Source organism: Homo sapiens, chromosome 13 (genome assembly GCF_000001405.40).
Source record: "Homo sapiens chromosome 13, GRCh38.p14 Primary Assembly".
Classification (NCBI taxonomy): Eukaryota; Metazoa; Chordata; class Mammalia; order Primates; family Hominidae; genus Homo; species Homo sapiens.
In genome coordinates this window covers 23854343-23874835 of record NC_000013.11, presented here as the reverse complement: position 1 = coordinate 23874835, position 20493 = coordinate 23854343, and the positions used below count along the sequence as shown (strand labels likewise).

The 20493-nt window shown below is 38.5% G+C and overlaps 1 protein-coding gene across 4 annotated transcripts in view, besides 1 other annotated feature; it reads left to right on the top strand.

Annotated features, from left to right (window-relative positions):
• The window catches only part of MIPEP (mitochondrial intermediate peptidase), a 159212-nt gene that overhangs the window by 14565 nt on the left and 124154 nt on the right, over window positions 1-20493 (top strand). For all 4 annotated transcript variants that reach the window (NM_005932.4, XM_011535097.3, XM_011535098.4 and 1 more), the window contains exons 6-10: window positions 4641-4823; window positions 5388-5544; window positions 10647-10695; window positions 12474-12534; window positions 15924-15976. In NM_005932.4, coding sequence (NP_005923.3) covers window positions 4641-4823; window positions 5388-5544; window positions 10647-10695; window positions 12474-12534; window positions 15924-15976 — 503 coding nt within the window. The remainder of the gene's footprint in view (window positions 1-4640; window positions 4824-5387; window positions 5545-10646; window positions 10696-12473; window positions 12535-15923; window positions 15977-20493) is intronic.
• Window positions 8576-8715: an enhancer, noted in NCBI's record as "active region_7468". NCBI's record gives its function as "activates an Ori minimal core promoter by ATAC-STARR-seq in GM12878 lymphoblastoid cells {active_cell/tissue: GM12878}" and the evidence as "EXISTENCE:reporter gene assay evidence [ECO:0000049][PMID:35858748]".

Here is a 20493-nt window from a genome sequence, read left to right as displayed (position 1 = left end):
CTGCTGTTTTTTTGACTCTTCCAGTTTTACTAACATTTAGTTGATACCATTATTGCTACAGTCCTTGTATATATTGCTTGAATTTGCATATTGCAAAAACGTGCAGGTCTTTTATCTGTTATGAAATTCTTCTTTAGATTGTATTTGAATATAGTCCCCTCTCTGGAAGTTGACCTATCACACCATGATAATTCAGAATTAAGACAGGCTTGAGCCAAGTGGAGTGTTTTAGATAATCATGGAATTAGGATGAGATAGGCAATATCAGGAAAGACTGGCAAGTGAATGGGAAAGCTGATGTCATTGAAGATTGGTAGTACAGGGAATATCACATAAGACCTTACATAAGTGTATTTATTTATATTATACGTGTGTTTGACTGATGGAACAAGCATAGATTACACAGTGTTTACACTGGGATGGAGGCCTTCTACCTAGTCCATCCCCTTCATTTTACAGATGTGGAAACAAGACAAAGTGATTTGTTCAAGTTGCCATCCTAACTAACAAATGGCCAGTGTTCTTAAAATTTCTAACACTGGCCACTGTTCTTTCTAGCACATAACATCCTGAGAAACCAAGTGCCTCATTTCAGTTGTAAATTCAGAGTTGGAAGAACAGGAGGGACTTGACACCATTGGAAGTTCAGCCTGCCCCACAGTCTCCCCCACTCACCTGCAGTCTAGACTATTATGGCTTTTTGTTTATTTGTTTTAAACAGTAATACATTTTTCCTAGTAAATATGGTAGAATTAAACCACTTACCTATGAAGAGATTAAGTTATCAAAATATCTGGAAAAGCAGAAGGCAGGGCCTTGGAAATATGTATCACATACAATAGATGTTACCATTTTGATAGGTGCTGAGTTTGAGTAATGCTGTAACCCCTCACACATCTGATGTGTTTGTGTGGCATTAAAGGTTCAGCATGTGATTCCTGGTCTGACCCTGAGCCAGGACGTGCCTTCCCAGCAGCCCATGAGGCTTATGGGCTCTACTGTAAACTCACATTGCCTAAGGTGACCACGTTTGCCGCTTTCCACATCAATTCTTCATTAATACTTCTCTGTAAAATAAAATTTGGGAGTTAGTTGTATTCTTTCCCTTCCTAATATTGTCATATCTTCTAACCAAGTCCTTGCATTGTTCCTACAGTCCTGCATCTGTCTGCATCCCAAAAGCAAATCACCTTGATTCTTATCACCAAACACCCGGGCTGTTCTAAAGGCCTCTGTCTTCCTAACAGTGATTTAACATCAACTGAGTATTTGCTACTTTAAATCATATATTTCTCATCAAATCCTCACAACAATTTTGAGCTTGGTGCTACTATTATTCCTGGCTTTTTTTAGACCAAGGCTGTAGAGGTTGTGGGACGTTATTTTGTAAGCCAGACAGACTCCAGAGCCTCCATGGCCAGCATGTCACCATCCTGCTGGTCAGTCTTCCCCGTCTGTGAACACTGGATTAGTTTTCATAAAGTATTGATTTGTTACTTTCCTGCCCAGAATCCTCCTGTGGACTTCCCATTGTCTAGTGAAGTTAACATGTAACAAAGAGCTCACACTCGTGGCTGTGCTCCGGCTGTCAGCCCCTCATACACAGTGTCCTCCCCCATGTGTTTGCTGTCCTCCTCCTAGGCCTGCTCACCAGGTTTCCCTGGCTGAAGTCCCCATGAAGGCTTCATCCTCACGCCACATTGCGAAGCTTTTATCAGTCCCCCAGGTGGAATTTTGTATTCATCCGAACGTATTTTACTTATTTCAGTCATGTGGCATTCTTCTTTACCTTTTGTTGATGATGATGCTGTTATTGTTGTGTTGCTTATCTAACTTCTAGGCTTACAAAGGATCAAGAACGTGGATCATGTTTTTTAATGCATATTAGTTTTGGACTCAGTAAAAGTATTGAGTGAATGTATGACAAATCATGATAATGCTAGCTATCATCAAGTTTGATATCTTCAGAAGGAAGGTTGCTAGTAGAGAATCCATGTGAATAGTTTTAATGTATCCTTATGAAGGGTGCTTTTGAAATTTTGCTGACAAATAGTATATGTTCAGTTTCACCAGCATAGACATTGCCGCTTTTATCTAACATATGATTACAGTGTAGCTCCTCTTTCCCCGGGAGCAGCTCCCAGGGAACCCCTCAATATTGAATATGCAACTAAAGTAAACCTGCTCAGTTTTTCCCTTGTAACTTCCATGTTTGTTCTCAGAGGTGCTCCACTAGGACAGGATATAAAGTAGACATGTTCCATTTTTCAAAAGAGAGACCATGAAATAAACCCACCAACAAAATCTATAAATCATCAAAGCCTATGTTCTTTCCAGTTGGTTTCTTATTTATTTATTATTATTATTATTTTTTGAGACAGAGTTTCACTCTTGTTTCCCAGGCTGGAGTGCAATTGGGCAATCTTGGCTCACCGCAACCTCCGCCTCCCGGGTTCAAGCGATTCTTCTGCCTCAGCCTCCTGAGTAGCTGGGATTACAGGCATGTGCCACCACGCCCAGCTAATTTTGTATTTTTGGTAGAGACGGGGTTTCTCCATGTTGGTCAGGCTGGTCTCGAACTCCCGACCTCAGGTGATCCACCTGCCTCAGCCTCCCAAAGTTCTGGGATTATAGGCGTGAGCCACTGCACCCGGCCTTAATTTTTAAGGTCTCATACAAATATAACTTATAAGTTTAAATGTAATAGAAATGTTTATTTTTAACATTATTTAATAACACAGAAATTTCATAGAATTTTTCAAGAGTTCAGATTATTGTACATTTCATTGTTACCACAGAATGATGAAGTGATATGCCTGGCAGATCATTGAAGTTGGCATGAACTCAGTTTTGATTTTTCCAGAGGTTTTATCAGTAGATAAAATCTTCAAAGTAGTTAATTTTATCACATTTTTTTTTTCAAAGTAAAAGTTTTGAAGACAATTTTGGAACTGTAATGTGATTTCAAAATCTTGTTCATCTTTTTTGTTATTCCACTTGTTACCATTAGGTGGTGATAAATGGCCATATCAAACAAAATAAGCAAAGAGAAATCTGGACTGTAAGGAAATGGGAGTCTCCTAAAACTTTTTTCCATGAAATTTGAATTTTCTATATTGAAATTCTGGGGATATTGATATATACTCAATTTTTTCAGCATCTTATCAAGCATGCCTCTACATCATCTATGTTTATCTTTAAAAAGTATATTAGTATTGTGGCTTAATCATTTTTTAGGAGCATAGAACAGTTTAGAACTTGTTAATTGCTATCTCCTCTCCCAGAAAGATTTGTGTACACTTTCACCTGAAGCCCAACATGAGCCCAGTGCGGAGCCTGTCTAGTTTTTTGGTAACCAGTAACTGAAAATTCATATGCAGAGCCTGTCTAGTTTTTGAGTAACCAATAACTGAAAATTCATCTGCAGAGCCTGTCTAGTTTTTGAGTAGCCAATAACTGAAAATTCAGCCCTTCTCCTCCAGTCAGCCTAATTATGTGGTTTCTAGTTTATATTTAATCTTAGAGCATTTATGGCAACCCCTTTGCTAATACACGTTTTCTCAGGTTATTGTGTATTACAAAGATATGACTGCAAGATTAAACCTAAGCAGATGTGTCCGCACCATCCACGTCCTCATCACTGACCATTTGAAGGCCTGGCAGGAGCAAGGACCATGTGCCACATGGCAGGGACACAGAGTAGAAGAAAGGACCATGCCCTGGGGTTCCAGTCTGCTTCTTAGACTTCACTGTATCATTCTGTAGCAGCTCAAGCACATGCAAAATCAGAACTTTATTCCCCCCTGAGACAGGGTCTCGCTTTGTTGCCCAGGTTGCAGTGGTGTGATCGTAGCTCACTGAAGCCTTACCTCCTGGGCTCAAGTGATCCTGCTGCCTCAGCCCCACATAGGGCTGGGACTGCAGGCGTGTGCTACCACACCCAAAATCAGAACTTTTAAAATGTGCTTCCCCCTTCTGGAGGCTCACTACACTTTTGCAAATAACTGTTTTTTTGTTTTTTGTTTTTTTTTGAGACAGAGTCTCCCTCTGTCTCACAGGCTGGAGTACAGTGGTGCGATCTCGGCTCATTGCAACCTCCGCCTCCTGGGTTCGAGCGATTCTCGTGCCTCAGCCTCTTGAGTAGCTGAGATTATAGGCACGTGCCACCACGCCCAGCTAATTTTTGTATTTTTAGTAGAGATGGGATTTCACCATGTTGGCCAGACTGGTCTCCAACCCCTGACCTCAAGTGATCTGCCCTCCTTGGCCTCCCAAAGTGCTGGGATTACAGGCGTGAGTCACTGCACCTGGCATGTGTTTTTCAATGTTGTTAATTTCAACAATTAGTTATATAACCTAGACATAAAATAGAACTAGAAGTTATGTAAATCTTAAAACATAGAAACATCAGAAAACCATAAGTATGATCTTTTTGTTAGAATATTAAATATCTGTTAAAAGTAAAATTAATATATTATTTATAATATAGTAACAATATATTCATTTTACTAAACTAATATTTTATTAAGTGATAATTCAACAATATATATGTTGATTTGACATATTTATATTTTGTTTATTAAATTGTGAAATATTAATTCAAAACGCCTTTAAATAACTTTTACTCCTCCTGCATACAGCGTAAAAGAGCAGTGGACCTCAATGTTAAAATCTTGGATTTGAGTAGTACATTTCTTATGGGAACCAATTTTCCCAACAAGATTGAGAAGCATCTCTTACCAGAACACATTCGTCGTAACTTTACATCTGCTGGGGATCATATCATAATTGATGGTCTCCACGCAGAATCACCAGATGACTTGGTATGTATGTTTCATTCTCTTTGTTGTTTAGGTCCCATTTGTGTGTTGCTACTGTTTTAACCCAAAATTCAGTGATAATATAATAGTATCCTTAAAAACTTTTTAGCATTACTAAGCCCTAAAAATTTAACTTGTGGAATTATTAATGCCATAAACACTTTAAAGAATGAAAATGATTTAATTACTTATATTTCATACAAGACTCCTTATTTTTAAAGTATGATTAATAACACCATTAACTGACATTCTAGACTACAGAGACTTTTAAATTCATGCAGCCTTACTTCTCCTGGTTAAGACGCTTTATAGCATAGAGATCCACGCACTGGGTAGAGGTTTGCCCCACCGTACCTCAGAACAGTACCCTAGAGCTGCAGTCAAGTATGCTATTGCATCCCATGCTATTTTATGACTCTGGAAGCTTTATGGCCTCGTGTAGACCATTGCTTTATTTTGAAAGCAGTGATCATCTGCAGATCAAGTGGTGAGCATGAGCCTGTGTTATTGTTGCATAGGACTGTGTGATGATATTTATAGCCTTCACCATTTACTTTTTAAACGTAGGTGCGAGAAGCTGCTTATAAAATTTTTCTTTATCCCAATGCTGGTCAATTGAAATGTTTAGAAGAATTGCTCAGCAGCAGAGATCTTCTGGCAAAGTTGGTGGGGTATTCCACGTTTTCTCACAGGGCTCTCCAAGGAACGATAGCTAAAAATCCAGGTAAGCCTGTTTATCCAACATTTAAGGGCAAAATAGGATTTTTATGAAACTGAGCTTTTGATTTTAAATAGCTGTAAATTAGTGTTCTATTTTTAATACATGTAGAGAACCATTTATTGAGATTTTCTATGTATTTTTATAGGAACCATTTTTAAATAGAGCTAATAATTTGGCATAATTCTGTCCAACCAAAGAATTTTATTTTATGTGAATGTTGAGAGTAAAATCATAACCTAAATTTTCATTTTGATGTTAGTCTAAATTGTTTTCATTTTAACACAGTTTCTGTGCTGAATTTGACAAATTGGTTAGAATTAGTGTAAGAGAATGAAAGATCAGTATGTTTACTGAGGTCAAGGTTAAATGTAGGTTAGGTCATATAAAAAACACACAGTCAGATAAGCCTCCTTTTCAGAGAGAAGAGTACTGCTTAGGAAGGTTTGTGCTAGGTGAGGTGTTACGGAAGTGTGTCGTTGGGTTTGTCATAAACTTGCCTTGTGCTATGTTGAGTTCCTTATGATTCATAATGTCTAAGAGAAAATGTTACACAATAATAATATAAATGTACATAATACGTTTTTTCAGAAGCATTTATTAACTTACAGTTGTAATTTAGGTGGTGAGTCAGGAGTAGGGTGGCCGTGATGATGGAGCTGCGTGAGACTCAAGGTCTTGGCAGTGAAGTTGCAAGACTTAGTGAGGGTGAGAGGGAGGAGGAGGCATTGTGGTGGGCCCCCTGGGTTTCTGGTTGTACATCTGGTTAGACATTCCACTCACCGACAGAGGGGACACTGGGGGCAGATCACAACCTGAATCCTCGCTTGTCTTTATTCCTTCTGTGCTTATCCCTTCTCACCCTAGCATGTTCCTCTCTTCTCCAAAGTTCTCTAAATGCACTCAATCTTACTTCTTACTCTTTCGTAAACAACTGTTTCCCTTGACCTGTCAGGGCTCTCGGTTAAGCTACAGGCGTGTCACGCTCATTGCGGCCTGGGTTCCCTTGCTCGTGTCACTCTCCTATGGAGAGCAGCTTTTCTTCCTGGTCTGCCTGTTAAAATCTTACCCCGTTTTTTTAGTGCTCAGCTCAAAACCCACCTCTTTCATGAAGCTGGTTAAACTTTTTCACTTTCCTTGGACTCCTTTGTCCCCGAACCCTTAAAACACTTACATTTTTTTTCATATAATCGAAGCTCCTAAACAGATATAATATGTATGTTATGTATTAAATGTGTGTTTTTAGTGTATGTTTTTTCTTTTTTTGTAAGTATCAGTTTGGTGAAAAGTATGTTTTTCTGTAGTCGCTGTTGTCAACAGTTTGATTATAATAGTACCATATTTTTATTTTATATTTATATAAAATAATAATATTAGAATATCATTCAGTGCTTATCCTGTTGTTATCTCATTTCCTTCCTCTGCAGCTTTGTGAGGTAGGTATTTGTATTCGTGTCACAGATAAGGAATCTAAGGTTAGGTTATATTGCTAAAATGTGGCAGAACTGAAGCCTAAACACATATGCTACATTTATGGTTTTCCACAGGCTGCTTGAGACCTAATGCCCTATGTTTTATATCATCTACATCCCCCTTTTGTTTATTAATTCAGCAAATATTTACTGATTGCCCACTGTATGTCAGATATTATTCTCGGTCAGGGAAATAAGTCAGTGTACAAAGCAGAAGAAAATTCCTATCCTTATGCAGTTTACATTCTTGGGAGCAAGGGAAGAACAGTAAAGAACGAAATAAGTAGATAAAGTATGTGGTATGTTATTAGTTAATACAAGCCATGGAGAAAACTGAACAGGGAAGGGGATAAGGTATGTGGGCATGTAGGCTGGTGTTGGAGTTTTAGAGAGCATTGTCGGAAGGCTCACTTAGAATGTGGAATGTGAGCGTGCTCTTGACAGACACAAGCATGAGGCTGTGGCTCTTGAGGGGAGAAAGGTTTCACGCAGAGTCACTATCAAGTGCTAAGGTCTTGAGGCAGAAAAATGCCTGCCACGTTTGAGGAGGGCAGAGTGGCTGAAGCGCAGCGTGTGCAAGGAGAGTGGCGAGAGGTGGGAACAGACTGACAAGGGGCGGCATTAAGTAGAGACTTGATGCAAGTGCAGCAGGTCACTGTGGGGGTTGGGGCAGAGGAGTGAGATGATCTGACTCCAGTGCTAATGGTGAGTCAGTGCTGCTGTTCCTGAGAGAAGACTGCAGCAGGGCCAGGGTAGAAGAGGGCCTGTTTAGATGCTGTTTTGCAGTAACCATGATGAGAAGTGTTGGCATCTTGACCAGGTGGTAGCAGGGAAGGTGGTAAGATGTGATCAGATTCTGGGTACAGAGTATTTGGAAGAGGGAGCCAACATTTTCGACCTAAGCAACTAGAAAGAGAGTGAGTTACTACTGTTAACTAAGATTGGGAGGACCGGAAACTTGGTTTGTTTCAAGTTAAGTTTGAGATACCAAATGAGGTTCAAGTGGTGAAGTTGGGTAGGCAGTTAGATGGAGTGTGGAGTTCTGAGCTTCATATGTAAGTCTGAACCTCTAAAATGAGATTCTGATACCACTAAGAGAGTGAACTTAAAGAACAAGTCCAAGGACTGCGCTCTGGGGCCTTCAAGTTTAAGAGGCCAGGCATGTGAGGAACTGCTAGTTAACGCTGCCAGATGTAACGGCCACTAAGGGAGGTGGAAAGTGATTACAGGGTGTGGTCCTGGAGGCCGCGCAGAAGGTCTGTCTACAGGAGAGGGGAGAGATCAGCTGACTCATGCTGTGGCCAGGTCAGATGTGAGGAGGGCTGGGCATGACCACTGGCTGTAGCAGCGTGGAGCTCACTGGACCTGCAGCACCCAGCTCCAGATTCCGTGACTGGCAGGTCACCCTTGTGCACTAAGTGCTTGGTGTGCTGATGTATTGGCAGGGGGCTGTTGTGCACATCATCACGTAAGATGTGCTCTGGGTCCTTGAGGATTTAAAGCTTAGTTGAGGAGCTGGATATATGCATATAAAAAGATAAATAATAATAGAGGTTGGCACGTTTTCGGTGTCGATGGAGTAGTACAGACAAAACAATGCCATGGGATTTAGGAGCTCGGGGCATTTGTCAGATGCATCTGTGGCTGTGGAAGGCGCCCTGAGGGAAATGAAACTGTCATGCACAGTGATGGAGTGAGTCCTCAGCAGAGCAGAAGGAAGACAGAGAGGCTGACTGAGGCTAAGGCGGGCATTCATGTGGCTAGTGAATGAGGAGGTAACTGCGGTGAGGCACTTAGTGGGGGGTTTCAAACTGAATCTTAATATGACAATTCTCTGGGGACACTAATTGAGGCAGGCCAGATGTGGTGTCTCATGCCTGTAATCTCAGCACTTTGGGAGGCTGAGGCAGGCAGATCACTTGAGGTCAGGAGTTCAAGAACAGCCTGGCCAACATGGTGAAACCCCATCTCTACTAAAAATACAAAAATTAATTGGGCGCGGTGGCGGGTGCCTGTAATCCCAGCTACTCAGGAAGCTGAGACAGGAGAATCGATTGAACCCTGGGAGGCAGAGGTTGCAGTGAGCCGAGATGGGACTTCTGCACTCCAGCCTGGGCAACAGAGCAAGACTCCATCTCAAAAAAAAAAAAAAATTAATTGAGGCAGATTCTTCACATGTAAAATGACTGGAAGAATAAGATGGGTGAATGTTAAAACACGGTTATTAAGAAATAAAACGTATACAAGCATACATAGGGATTCATTTGAAAACAGTTTGGTATGGTACCTGGAATATAATCCTAAAATGAGATTTCATTGTTGACTAAATAATGTCTTTGTTCCCCAAAAATTCCTATTGTTGTTTCATATGGCACATGAGCCAGTGTTTTCAGAATTCGTATACACAGGACTTGTTAAGTATTGACAGTGGCAAGAAACCTCATGGTTTGGGTTTAGGTTAACCACCATTATTTATTTCCTTAGTCTTTTATTTCACTCAAAAGGAGATAACTTAAATTGAAGAGAGGGCAGGAAACTTAAAACTGTATAAAAGATTATCTGGAAAATACAAACATAGTGTTTGTGGTGAACTAAAATACATATGAAAGCTCTGTACACATAAGTCAGTGATAAAAAGTGCTACATTCAGAAATACTTGCAAAACATTTCCTCTTGTGGGAAACGGTGATAATTCTACTGCACTGCCTTTATGGGTTTGTAAATTATGACAACTATGGCAGAAGTATTTTAATAAAAATACTTTAAAAATTCTATCAGAAGTTAATATTTATTTTTCTTATTTTGCTATTTTTTTCATATTTATCCTGAATAGATTATTCTACAGTTGTATATAACAATAAAATTGTTATCAAGAAAAACATTGATCTTAAAAAATTTATTTCAGGGAATTATACTTCTACACTGCACCTATTTTTATGAACAAAGCAGTCTAGATATCTCTTTAAAACTCTGAAAACGTCAGACATGTCTCAGAACTTTTTTTTCTTACACATATGAATAGATAGAAACACCTTGAAATTTTGTACTTTTTTCTTTAGCCTCCCATTAACTCTTTTTTTTTTTTTTTTTGAGATGGAGTCTCACTTTCTTGCCCAGGCTGGAGTACAGTGGCACAGTCTGGGCTCACTATAGTCTCTACCTCCTGGGTTCAAGCTATTCTCCTGCCTTAGCCTCCCAAGTAGCTGGGACTATAGGCATGCACCACCACGCCTGGCTAATTTTTGTATTTTTGGTAGAGACGGGGTTTCAGCCTGTTGGCCTTGCTGGTCTTGAACTCCTGACCTCAGGTGATCCACCCCCTGCCCTCAGCCTCCCAAAGTACTAGGATTACAGGCATGAGCCACCTGGTCCCATTAACTCTTTTAATTTTGGGATAGAATCTGACGCTGTGGATTATTAGTATGCCAATTTAATTTTTTTCTGATTAAAAGATCGTCATCACCTAGAAGCATTTACTATATGTTTGGTATATGTTGGTAGCTCTACTTCCCTTTGAAAATCATCACTTTAAGGGAATTGTGGGATATAGATTATGATCATCACATAATAATTTTAACAGATATGTTCATTTTATTTCACATAATTGAAGATATTTTCTTTTGGATTTCGTTTTAGAGACTGTCATGCAGTTCCTTGAAAAACTATCTGACAAACTTTCTGAAAGGTTAGTTTTTATTCTACTATTTAGTTTTTTGGTTATATGTTATTTAGTCTTTTTAAAGAAGACTTGATTTATAAAAAATTAGGAAGTGACCTAGAATATAAGTTTTGGCATATTGGACCAGACCTGTCTCACTATGAGACATACTTTAAAAGGCCATAGTTGTCTTCCTTATGTGCCATTCTTGAAAACATAAGCTGTCCCCTTTCATTAAACAATTGTTTTTAGAAATTCATCTTTCATTTGCACTTTAAAAATCTTTACCAAAATGTTTTTGAAACTATTTATTTTAACTTGTACCATGAATTTTATGACAAGTTCATAAAGTAGTATTTCTCTTCTTTTGGCCTAAATACAGGAGGCTCATGGATGTGGTGTCTTTTTAATTTTGTGTAGTATTTTAAGGATGTTCTATCTCAACATTTGTAATTTCAAGCTGAAGTGTTCTACTGCCTTTGGTGTGTCCGTTTGTTATAACAAGTTGAGTGTCCCTTATCTGAAATGCTTGGGACCACACATGTTTTGGATTTCATTTTTTGGGGGGAATTTGGAATATTTGCATATACATAATGAGATATCTTGGGGATGGGACCCAAGTCTAAACACGAAATTCATTTATGTTTCATATACACCTTATACACATAGCCTGAAGATAATTTTATACAGTGTTTTTAATAATTTTGTGCCTGAAACAAAGTTTTGGCTGCAACCTATCACATGACATCACATGTGGAATTTTCCACTTGTACCATCATGTCAGTGCTGAGAAAGTTTCAGATTTTCAGATTAGGGAGGCTCAACCTGTATTCCTGCCTCCCCTGCCCCTCCCCTGCTCAGTGCCTTCGATCATACACTTGCCCTTCACTGGCCCTCTTCTAGGCCTTAGTTGAGAGGCAGCACACCTTTAGGTACTAAGGATTCTAGGAAGAAGCAGTCACCGTTTGTAAAAAAGGATGATGTTTTCTCTTTTTCTCTTGTAATGCTGTCTAAAATTTTGTTTGCCTGTTGTGGCTACACCAACACATTGGATCTTGGCTCACATTTCTGTTTTGGACTATAAACTCATGCCTTAGAACTCATTCTTCTCTAGTTTGGATTATGTTTATAAATTCTAAAATTTTCTTTTAATGATCCTGGTGAACCACTGTGTCTTTGATACAATAAAGAAAGAGGGTTAGTTATGCACTTATTGAGGATTTATCCTGCTTTACTTAGTTAAGTGTTAGTAGTCTTTCTCTACATAGCTATAGATTTTAGAGCAAGCATAGCTTCATCATTTTACAGGTATATATAGGAATTAATTCCAATATACATGTCATATTCTACAAATATTAAATACCTATTTAATTATTGACCAGCTAGAGTTTTTCCAAAGGGGAAAAATGACTAGAAATCTTAAATGTAGCCAATGATAAAATTCCTTTCTAGGAGTTAATTTGTTAAGTCTCTTTTAAAGGTATAGCAAAAAGTAGTGATTTAAAGTTAGTGATTAATGCTTTGCATATTTGTAATGACATTGCTAGTTTTTCCAAGCTTTAGTACTCTTGAGACATTTATCCACCATGATGCTTTTTAAGGTAGAAATCGCAGTAATATGCTGCTTTATATATTGTTATTTCTCATGACACTTAGGTAAAATTTGGATTAATAGTGATTTATGTGTGCACTACTAATTGTATCTAATCTTATGAATATTGGAATGTAACATAAGCAAACTAGTCCTTTCATAATGTAATTGTTAAAATTTTGTCCTAACAAGTAATGATAAACCTGTTTTATAGAACTCTGAAAGATTTTGAGATGATACGAGGGATGAAAATGAAACTGAATCCTCAAAATTCCGTAAGTATGTTGGAATATTTTTATTATAATATAGACAGTCTGTCAACTGAAATCAATATCTTTTGATTCAGGAACTTTCTTGTGATAGGCTACAGGTCCATTTAGTCTTGTTTCTGATCCTCGGTTTTGGTGAATAAAGATGTTGAAATATTTGATTCTTATGTCCCAAACTGATGTTGCCTGTACATACAGCATTTTTGTTGAGGAGTCGACATATTTTATGTATATACACTAACACAATGTGTATATATTCATGCAAAGACTGCTTTCATTCTGTGGAATGTTGGCTTCTCAGTTTGAAGCAGACTTTAAGGAGACTCAGTGGAGGCTTCATCTGGCAGGTGGCAATTTTAACCATCAGTGTTAATGTTGCAGTTCATTTGCTTATTTGTTAGCTAATTTATGGTGCCCAATTGAGTATTTGACTAACAAAGTATACCACATTCTAAAAACACTTAAGTGTTGTTTTCAATCATATGATTATATGATCTTCCTTATGTGATCCAAGAGTATAGACAAGTATTGTTATGGCCAGAATGCTGCCCAGGTGATTGGGGGAGTGCCCTGAAAAGTGTCGAGAGTCCAGATATTAGGACTCATTCCCATTTGGTTCTAGGGCACTACAGGATTGCCGGGGTTGTCTACACCATTCTTTTCCAAATGCTGTTATTAGTTCTTGACTTAGTTGCTGCTGCCAGAGCCATAGTCATAAGGAAGATTTAGGGAAATGGGCCTTGCAGATTTACAAACTGTTTACTAGCTTCCCAGATACAGCCACTAGGAAACAGATTAATCCCATTAAACTCAGCGATGTGTAGAGTAGCATGTCAGTCTGTTAATTTATGGAAGGAGCTGTGTCTAGCAAAGTAACTACTGTTAGTCATCTGCACAGTCATCTGCACACCTTGACCTGGTAGGTAGGCTTATTTGGGAAACCAGATAATAGGTAAGAATTTAGTTTGGTGACTATAGAAACAGAAAAATAAAAAACAAAATGTGTTGCCAAAAGCTAATTCAGTAAAAGTGAATATGACTTTAAACTGTTATCTGTAGATATTTGTATATAGCTTATGGATACAATTATTCTGCAGATATTTGTGAAATGCCCAATCTCCTCATGAAGTCCCTGCTTTGGTGAATGGTGCCACCATTCACCCTGCTGCTCTGGTCAGGACCTATACTTAATCCAGACCAGTGGTTCTCAAAGTGTGGTTCCTGGACCAGAAGCAGTAGCATCACATGGGAGCCTGTTAGAAATGCAAATTCTTGAGCCCCACCTCAGACCCACTGAATCAAAAACTGGGGTGAGCTCCACAATCTGTGTTTCAACAAGCACCCCAGGCACTGCACACTCCCCTCCCCCATAATCATTTGTTAGGTCCTGCAGATTCTCCCTCCCTGTGAACTCTTGTGTCTTCTCCTGTGCCCATTGCCATAGCCTGGGCTATGATCCCAATCATTATTCTCACCCAGATGGTAACTGGGATTGCCTAACTGGTTTCTAGCCTTTTGTTTTTGCTCCACTCGAAGCCGTCTTGGATTCAGACAGTTTAGCCATGTATTTAGCCCAGTGTTAGGCATAGAATTGGTTGTCAACACTTATTTGAACTATGAATGAATAATGAATGAATGAATTGCCACCAGAGGGATTTGTCTAAAAAGCAGATCTGATCTTGTCACTCTGTTGTTTAAAATTATTCAGTAGCTCCTGGTTATTCTCCAGTTTCCCTTCCTACTACCCTGCTGCTCCCGCCAAGCCCTCATGATTTGGCCCTTGCCTCCTTCTCTAGCTTCATCTTCTGCTGCCCCTCCAAGCCGAGGCTGTGTTCTTTGCTCTCTCCTAATACCTGTGTGATGCTCATGTGATCTCTATTCACTTAGTTTTGCTTTCTTTCCTTGCTTTGCTTTCTTTGATTCTTTAATTTGAATTAATATTTACGTGCCGGCCACATAAATATGGCATGGTGAGCAGCTTCCAGTCATTTACAAACACCACCTACAGGAATGCCTTTCTCCCTTTCTCATCTGGATTAACTGCTTCTATCATAAAACTCAATTCAGGCTTTGCCTTCTTGAGAACATTTCCTAACCTTCCGCTGTGATTTAAATACTCTTCTTGTGGGCTGTGTTTTACATGGCACAATGTAGACATGACATACTGTCCTCTGATTGTTGAGTCACTTGCCCTTCTACTGCCTAGGCTATCATCCTCTTGTTTTTGTCTGATTACAGCCTGCACTCTGTCTGCATCTAGCAGATAGCAAATAATCATCTGTTAGAGAAAATGTGTGCCAGGACCAGAACACTGTGGGGCTAGGGTTCCATGGACGCAGTCCCTGCCCTTCAGGCACTCATGAGGAGAAAGAAAATAAGCCTACAAGTATCTTAGGTTGTCATGCATCCCATGATATAAGTATTACCATGGAATATGGGAAATAACACCTTGTTATTGGAGGAGATTATGCCTAAACTGAAATGTTAAAGGATAATGGTAATAAGGAGAGTAGCCAACATTTGTTGAGCCCTTACTCAATGCCAGATATTCTACTTAATAGTTTAAGTACATTCAGCAGTCTTCTTTGGGAGGTACTGTTGATTCTTTCAACAAATATTTACTGAGTGACTACCCTGGGCCAGGTACTGTTCAGGGGACAGGAATGTAATAGGGAAGGATGCAAACAAAGTCCCTGTCATCATGCAGTTTATAGTCTGGTATGGATTGGAAACTTGAGCCCAGGCAGTCTGTCTTCACAGCCTGGTCTCTTAACCACTCTTTTGTCCACCTGGACACCTAGAAGGAAGGACAGTCATTCAAGTATTCAAGCTTTCCCTTCTTTCAGTATTATGTGCCAATCATCAAAAGCAACTAGTACTATAGTACTTCTTTATGACATATTTTCTTTGCCAAGATTAGAGTTAATTCTGCCTTGGTTACATTTTAAATTGCTGCTTTCATTTTTGATATCTACCCAAAGCTTCTTGCTTAGATTTAGAAAGAACCTTAATCCTACCTTTAGTACACTCATCTTACCTACAGTGTGTTTTATGGATTAATACATGGGTTACATTTTGGGAAAAATTTCATTATGGCTAATATAATTCGTTAATGTTTACTTTTGTTAGATACCACTTCAGAATGACATTTGTTTGTCTTTTCCCCAGATTCTGGGGTAGGTCTTAGTTATACTTCACTATCTCTTGATTACAGGGAAGTCAAAATAAGGAGCCAGGTATTTTCTGCCAAGCTATCAATTTTTTAAGGGATTCTATAAAATTGTTCTGATTTACATGAACAGTAGCTGGTTTACATTCTATAGGCTGGCCACGTTGCTGATAAAAACTATGAAAGAGTCAGTAGCTTTCCTTAACAGTGAATTATTCCATTGTAGGAAGTAATGCCCTGGGACCCCCCTTACTACAGTGGTGTGATTCGTGCAGAAAGGTAAGTTTTTCAAGAAATACCCGTACAGGAAAAGGAAAAAGGAAACTAATGTTTATTCAGCAGCTACTGTCATCCACTGAGTCGCCCACAGTACAAACCCTTCCCCTGACACCATTCTTTCTGCTGGCGTGGTCTGCTCCACTCATGTATTCTTCAGCTGCTTGTATCATTTCCTTGTTTAAAATTCTACAATCTGGTCCCTCTCCAGCTCTGCCCTTGCGTAGCTTTCTGGTTCTCTTCCTAGGCTGTGAGCATTGCTGGAATCCTTGTTGTATCCCATTGCTGGCCCAGAGTAGGGGCTCAGCATGTGTTTACTGAACCAGTAAAGGAATAAAGTGGTACATGGCGTGGTACTACGTTATTTTCCTTTTTTTTTTTTTTTTTTTTTTGAGGCGGAGTCTTGCTCTCTCCCAGGCTGGAGTGCAGTGGCGCTCTTATGTTTTCTCATTTTTATTTGGACACATATATTGTCAACACATTATTGGTCCATCTGGAAGGATATAAATGAAATAAAGATTTAAGGAACTTAAGTTGACAGAAGTACTCCTCTGGCTTCTATATCCTCCTGTGTTTATTATATTGGAGAAAAGTAGGTATGCCCTTCTCTCCCTACAGACACACTATTTCTGTAATTTTTATGTTATAAACCCAAGAAATAGAGCTCTTTTCACAGTGAACACACTTTAAAATGTTTATAGCTGAAGCAACTTTATATACCCAATAGGAATTTTTAAAAAAAAATCTCAGAATCCTACTCTTTAACAACTTATTAACATTTTTCCCTTGTAGTTAGTTTTTGAGATATGCTGTTTAAGTAGGAGAGTTAAGGTTGATTTAGGTAATAGAAGAAAATGTAAGTTTTTTGTTTTTTTTTCCTCATTAAAGCATACCAGCATGTACTGTGATGATACGTGTATTTATTTGGTATTAAGCTTTAAAATATTTTTATTACTATGCATTATTGAAGCATCAAGTAAAGCATAGTAGGTACTTCTCCAAAATAAGAAGTATTTGCTTAATTATTTATTTCAGCATTTGTCATAAAAACAGAAAACAATAACTTTCTATATTCTTTTCTATACCAGCAGGATGAGGTAGCCTAAGATCAATTAGTGTTTTGAAGCACTTACTCACTTAATTTTCATTTATTTTCCTCTCTTTGGTCTCCATCTATCACTGTTGCCAAAACCATTTTTACTTACAAGGCATAATTGTGTCCTAACCTTTAGTTAAGAATATTTGGTCAGTTACTATTTTTTATTTTTATTTTTCATTAAACAACTCTTTTTAGAGACAGGGTCTCACTTTGTCGCCCAGGCCAAAGTACAGTGGCGTAATCATGTCTCACTGTAGCCTCAACCTCCTAGGTTCCAGCAGCCCTCCTGCCTCAGCCTCCCAAGTAGCTGGCACTACAGGTGTGTACCACCATACCCAGCTGATTTTTAAATTTTTTTGTAGAGATATAGGTTCTTGCTGTGTTGCCCAGGTTGGTTAGCTACCATTTTTTTAAAAATGTATCTCAAATTCAGCATCAGTCTTTTTTTTAGTGAAAACACATAAACTGTTATTCAAAGTCTATAATAATTTGGTTATGGTAAACAACGAGGGTTTAGAATATATTTGTTTTACAAAATTGTTTTCTGGTTGCAGAACTTGAAACCCTGCTCCCTATAGTTGCATTAAAAAATAAAATGTCTCTTTTAAAATTCTGTCAAAGAAAGATTTGGCTTGGTTGTTTCACCTGTTAAAGATGTAGCATAAATCAGTAATAAAATTTATTTGTACTTTCCATGTTTATGTAAAGCATTTGATTTTTGACATTGGAGAGTAATGTAAATTAAATATATTTGATATTAAATATTCTAATTTTTAGAATTCTAATTTTAATTCTCAATATTTAGAATATTAAATATTCTAATTTAATAAATATTCTAATTTTTGCTACTCTCATTTTTATCAGGTATTCCTTTCATATCATGTCCCCGATACCTGATTATTTTCATTAATGCCTTGGCCTTAAATATAAGTGATAGTTTTTTCACTAACTATACTCTGTAAATATAGCATGCCCAAATGGTGGTTCCGAGGTAGGAGATCAGCAGGACTTGTTTTCTGGTCACAACCTCCTGACCAGAACAGGATCTGGTCCAAACAGAATGAAGTAAAGAAACCAGCCCAGACCAACAGATGGCAAGGAAAGGGATTTCTGGCTGCCCTCACTACTCATTAGCATAATTCACTCCCACCAGCGCCTTGACAGTTTACTAGTGCCAAGGCCAATGACCGGGAAGTTAGCACCCCCTTCCTAGAAAGTTCTGAATAATCTACCCCCAATTTGCATTAACCCACCCCTTAATTTGCATTTAAATAACAGTGGGTATAAATATAGCTGCCAACAGCCCACAAGCCTGGCTCTGGGCGCACTGTAGGATCTGATCACAACCTACTTTTGTTTTACAGAAAGAAACATCTCTACTCACATTTATTTGTTCTGATTTTTCTTCCACCGCTGCTCTTCCTCCACAGTTTATCCCAGCCAAACCCCTTTCTGTCTCAAAGGCAGAACCTCTGTCAGGGGAGCAGTGGGTTCCCATTGCCTCCCTGGTTTGTCTTACACATCTGTGACATCTTGCCAGGTGTCCATGAAGCTGCTGAGTCTGCACTAGCCTTGTGTAGCTCCTGGCTCCGCTGTGCTTAACAGCCTGTGTGCTACACAGTTGACCTGCTAAGATGTTCTGGATGTTAAATGTGTCTTGTCAACCATATTTTAAAGCTCTGCAAGAACAAACATTCTGGACCCTCAGTAAATACATACTAATTCATAGCCCCTATTCAAACTTGTATCTAGACCAGTAACCATGAAAAGCAATCCAGTGATGAGGTTTTTTTAGAAAGAGAATGCCATGTTTTTGCATGACATGTTTGCAGTGCTCACTGGTTGATGGAGTCTTCCACCTGCTTGCTAAGTCCTTGAAATCACCAGGTATGCTGGGAACACAATGTAGTCTGCCAGATATCCATGTGGGGCTTTAGCTTATTTTAAAGTTTTAATACTAATTTATTTATTTGACTATTAACTCAGTAAAAGAACCAGGAAAAGGGATGCAGAAATGCATCAGAAGGGGTTGTAAGAATCGGGTTTTAAAAATCTATTTTAAGTAGCTTAATAGGCTACTGAGTTTTGGTTTGAGGCTTCAGTAATCTTGATTGACAAGAGGAGGCTGCCGCACAGGTAATGGATGAGAAAAGAAAGGAAAAATATCATAGGTTGGGTTTGGGGTTAGAAGAGTGGAACAAAGTGAAGATTTCTAAATCCTTGTTAAATTCATCACCTTTCAAGTAAAGACTTAAATGTGTGGCTTGACACAAAATGAAATATAGAAGGGGCTTTCCTTGATTCGAGCCTTTTTTTCAAGTTAACCTCAGGGAGTCTTTTGCTTTTATGTTAAATACCTCAGATTTATTTCAAGTTTTTAATGTTCATCTAAAGAAAAGAACCTGTTTAGAAGCAGGAGGAGAAATTAACATGTTTTAAAAGTGCCAAAGGTTGATCCTGGAAAATACCGTAGTAGTATAAGTGACTGTCAGCAAGTCTTAAAGAGCAGCTCATTTTTCCTTTTTAAAGCTTTATTGTAAGATTCTTCATGGAAGAGTAACATTACGTCTTTCAGATACAAAAATAAATTATTTTATTTGAAATTAAATTTTATTTTTGATTAGGCAATACATTCACATGGCTCAAAAAATCAACAATGTTAAGAAGTATTAATTGAGAATACTCATCTCTACCTCTGCCCCAGAAGTCACCACTTTTAAGTTGTTTAATGTATCCTTCCAGTGTTTGGATTTTGTTTTTGATGCTTTGGAAACACTATTTCTTTTCTGTGAGTAATGAGTTTCAGTATTTCATTTATTTTGGTGCTATTTTTGTTTGTTTGTTTGTTTATTGTTTTTTTTTCTTTTTTTTTGAGACAGAATCTTCCTCTGTTGCCCAGGCTGGAGTGCAGTGACGTGATCTCAGCTCGCTGCAACCTCTGCCTCCTGGGTTCAAGTGATTCTCCTGCCTCAGCCTCCCGAGTAGCAGGGATTACAGGCATGCACCACCACACCCAGCTAATTTTTGTATTTTTAGTAGAGACAGAGTTTCACCGTTTTGGCCAGGCTGATCTCAGATTCCTAGCCTCAAGTGATCCGCCTGCCTCAGCCTCCCAAAGTGCTGGGATTACAGGCATGAGCCACCACACCCTGCCAATTTTGGTGCTATTTTTAAATTAGGATATCACTGGGAAAGGGAATTCAGTATTGTCTATTCCTTGCTAAGATATATTCTTAAAATCTCAAGCGCATTCACATAATGAAATACAGATGTTTTGTGTTTTAAACTATTCAAAAAATGGGCTCTCACAGAAGGACTTTTTTTTTGATGTGAGAAATCTCATGCTTTGTTAGTATAGGATTAGTGATCTTGGTAGTTTTAAATTTTTAAAAATTAACCTTTATTATGAAAACTTTCAAAA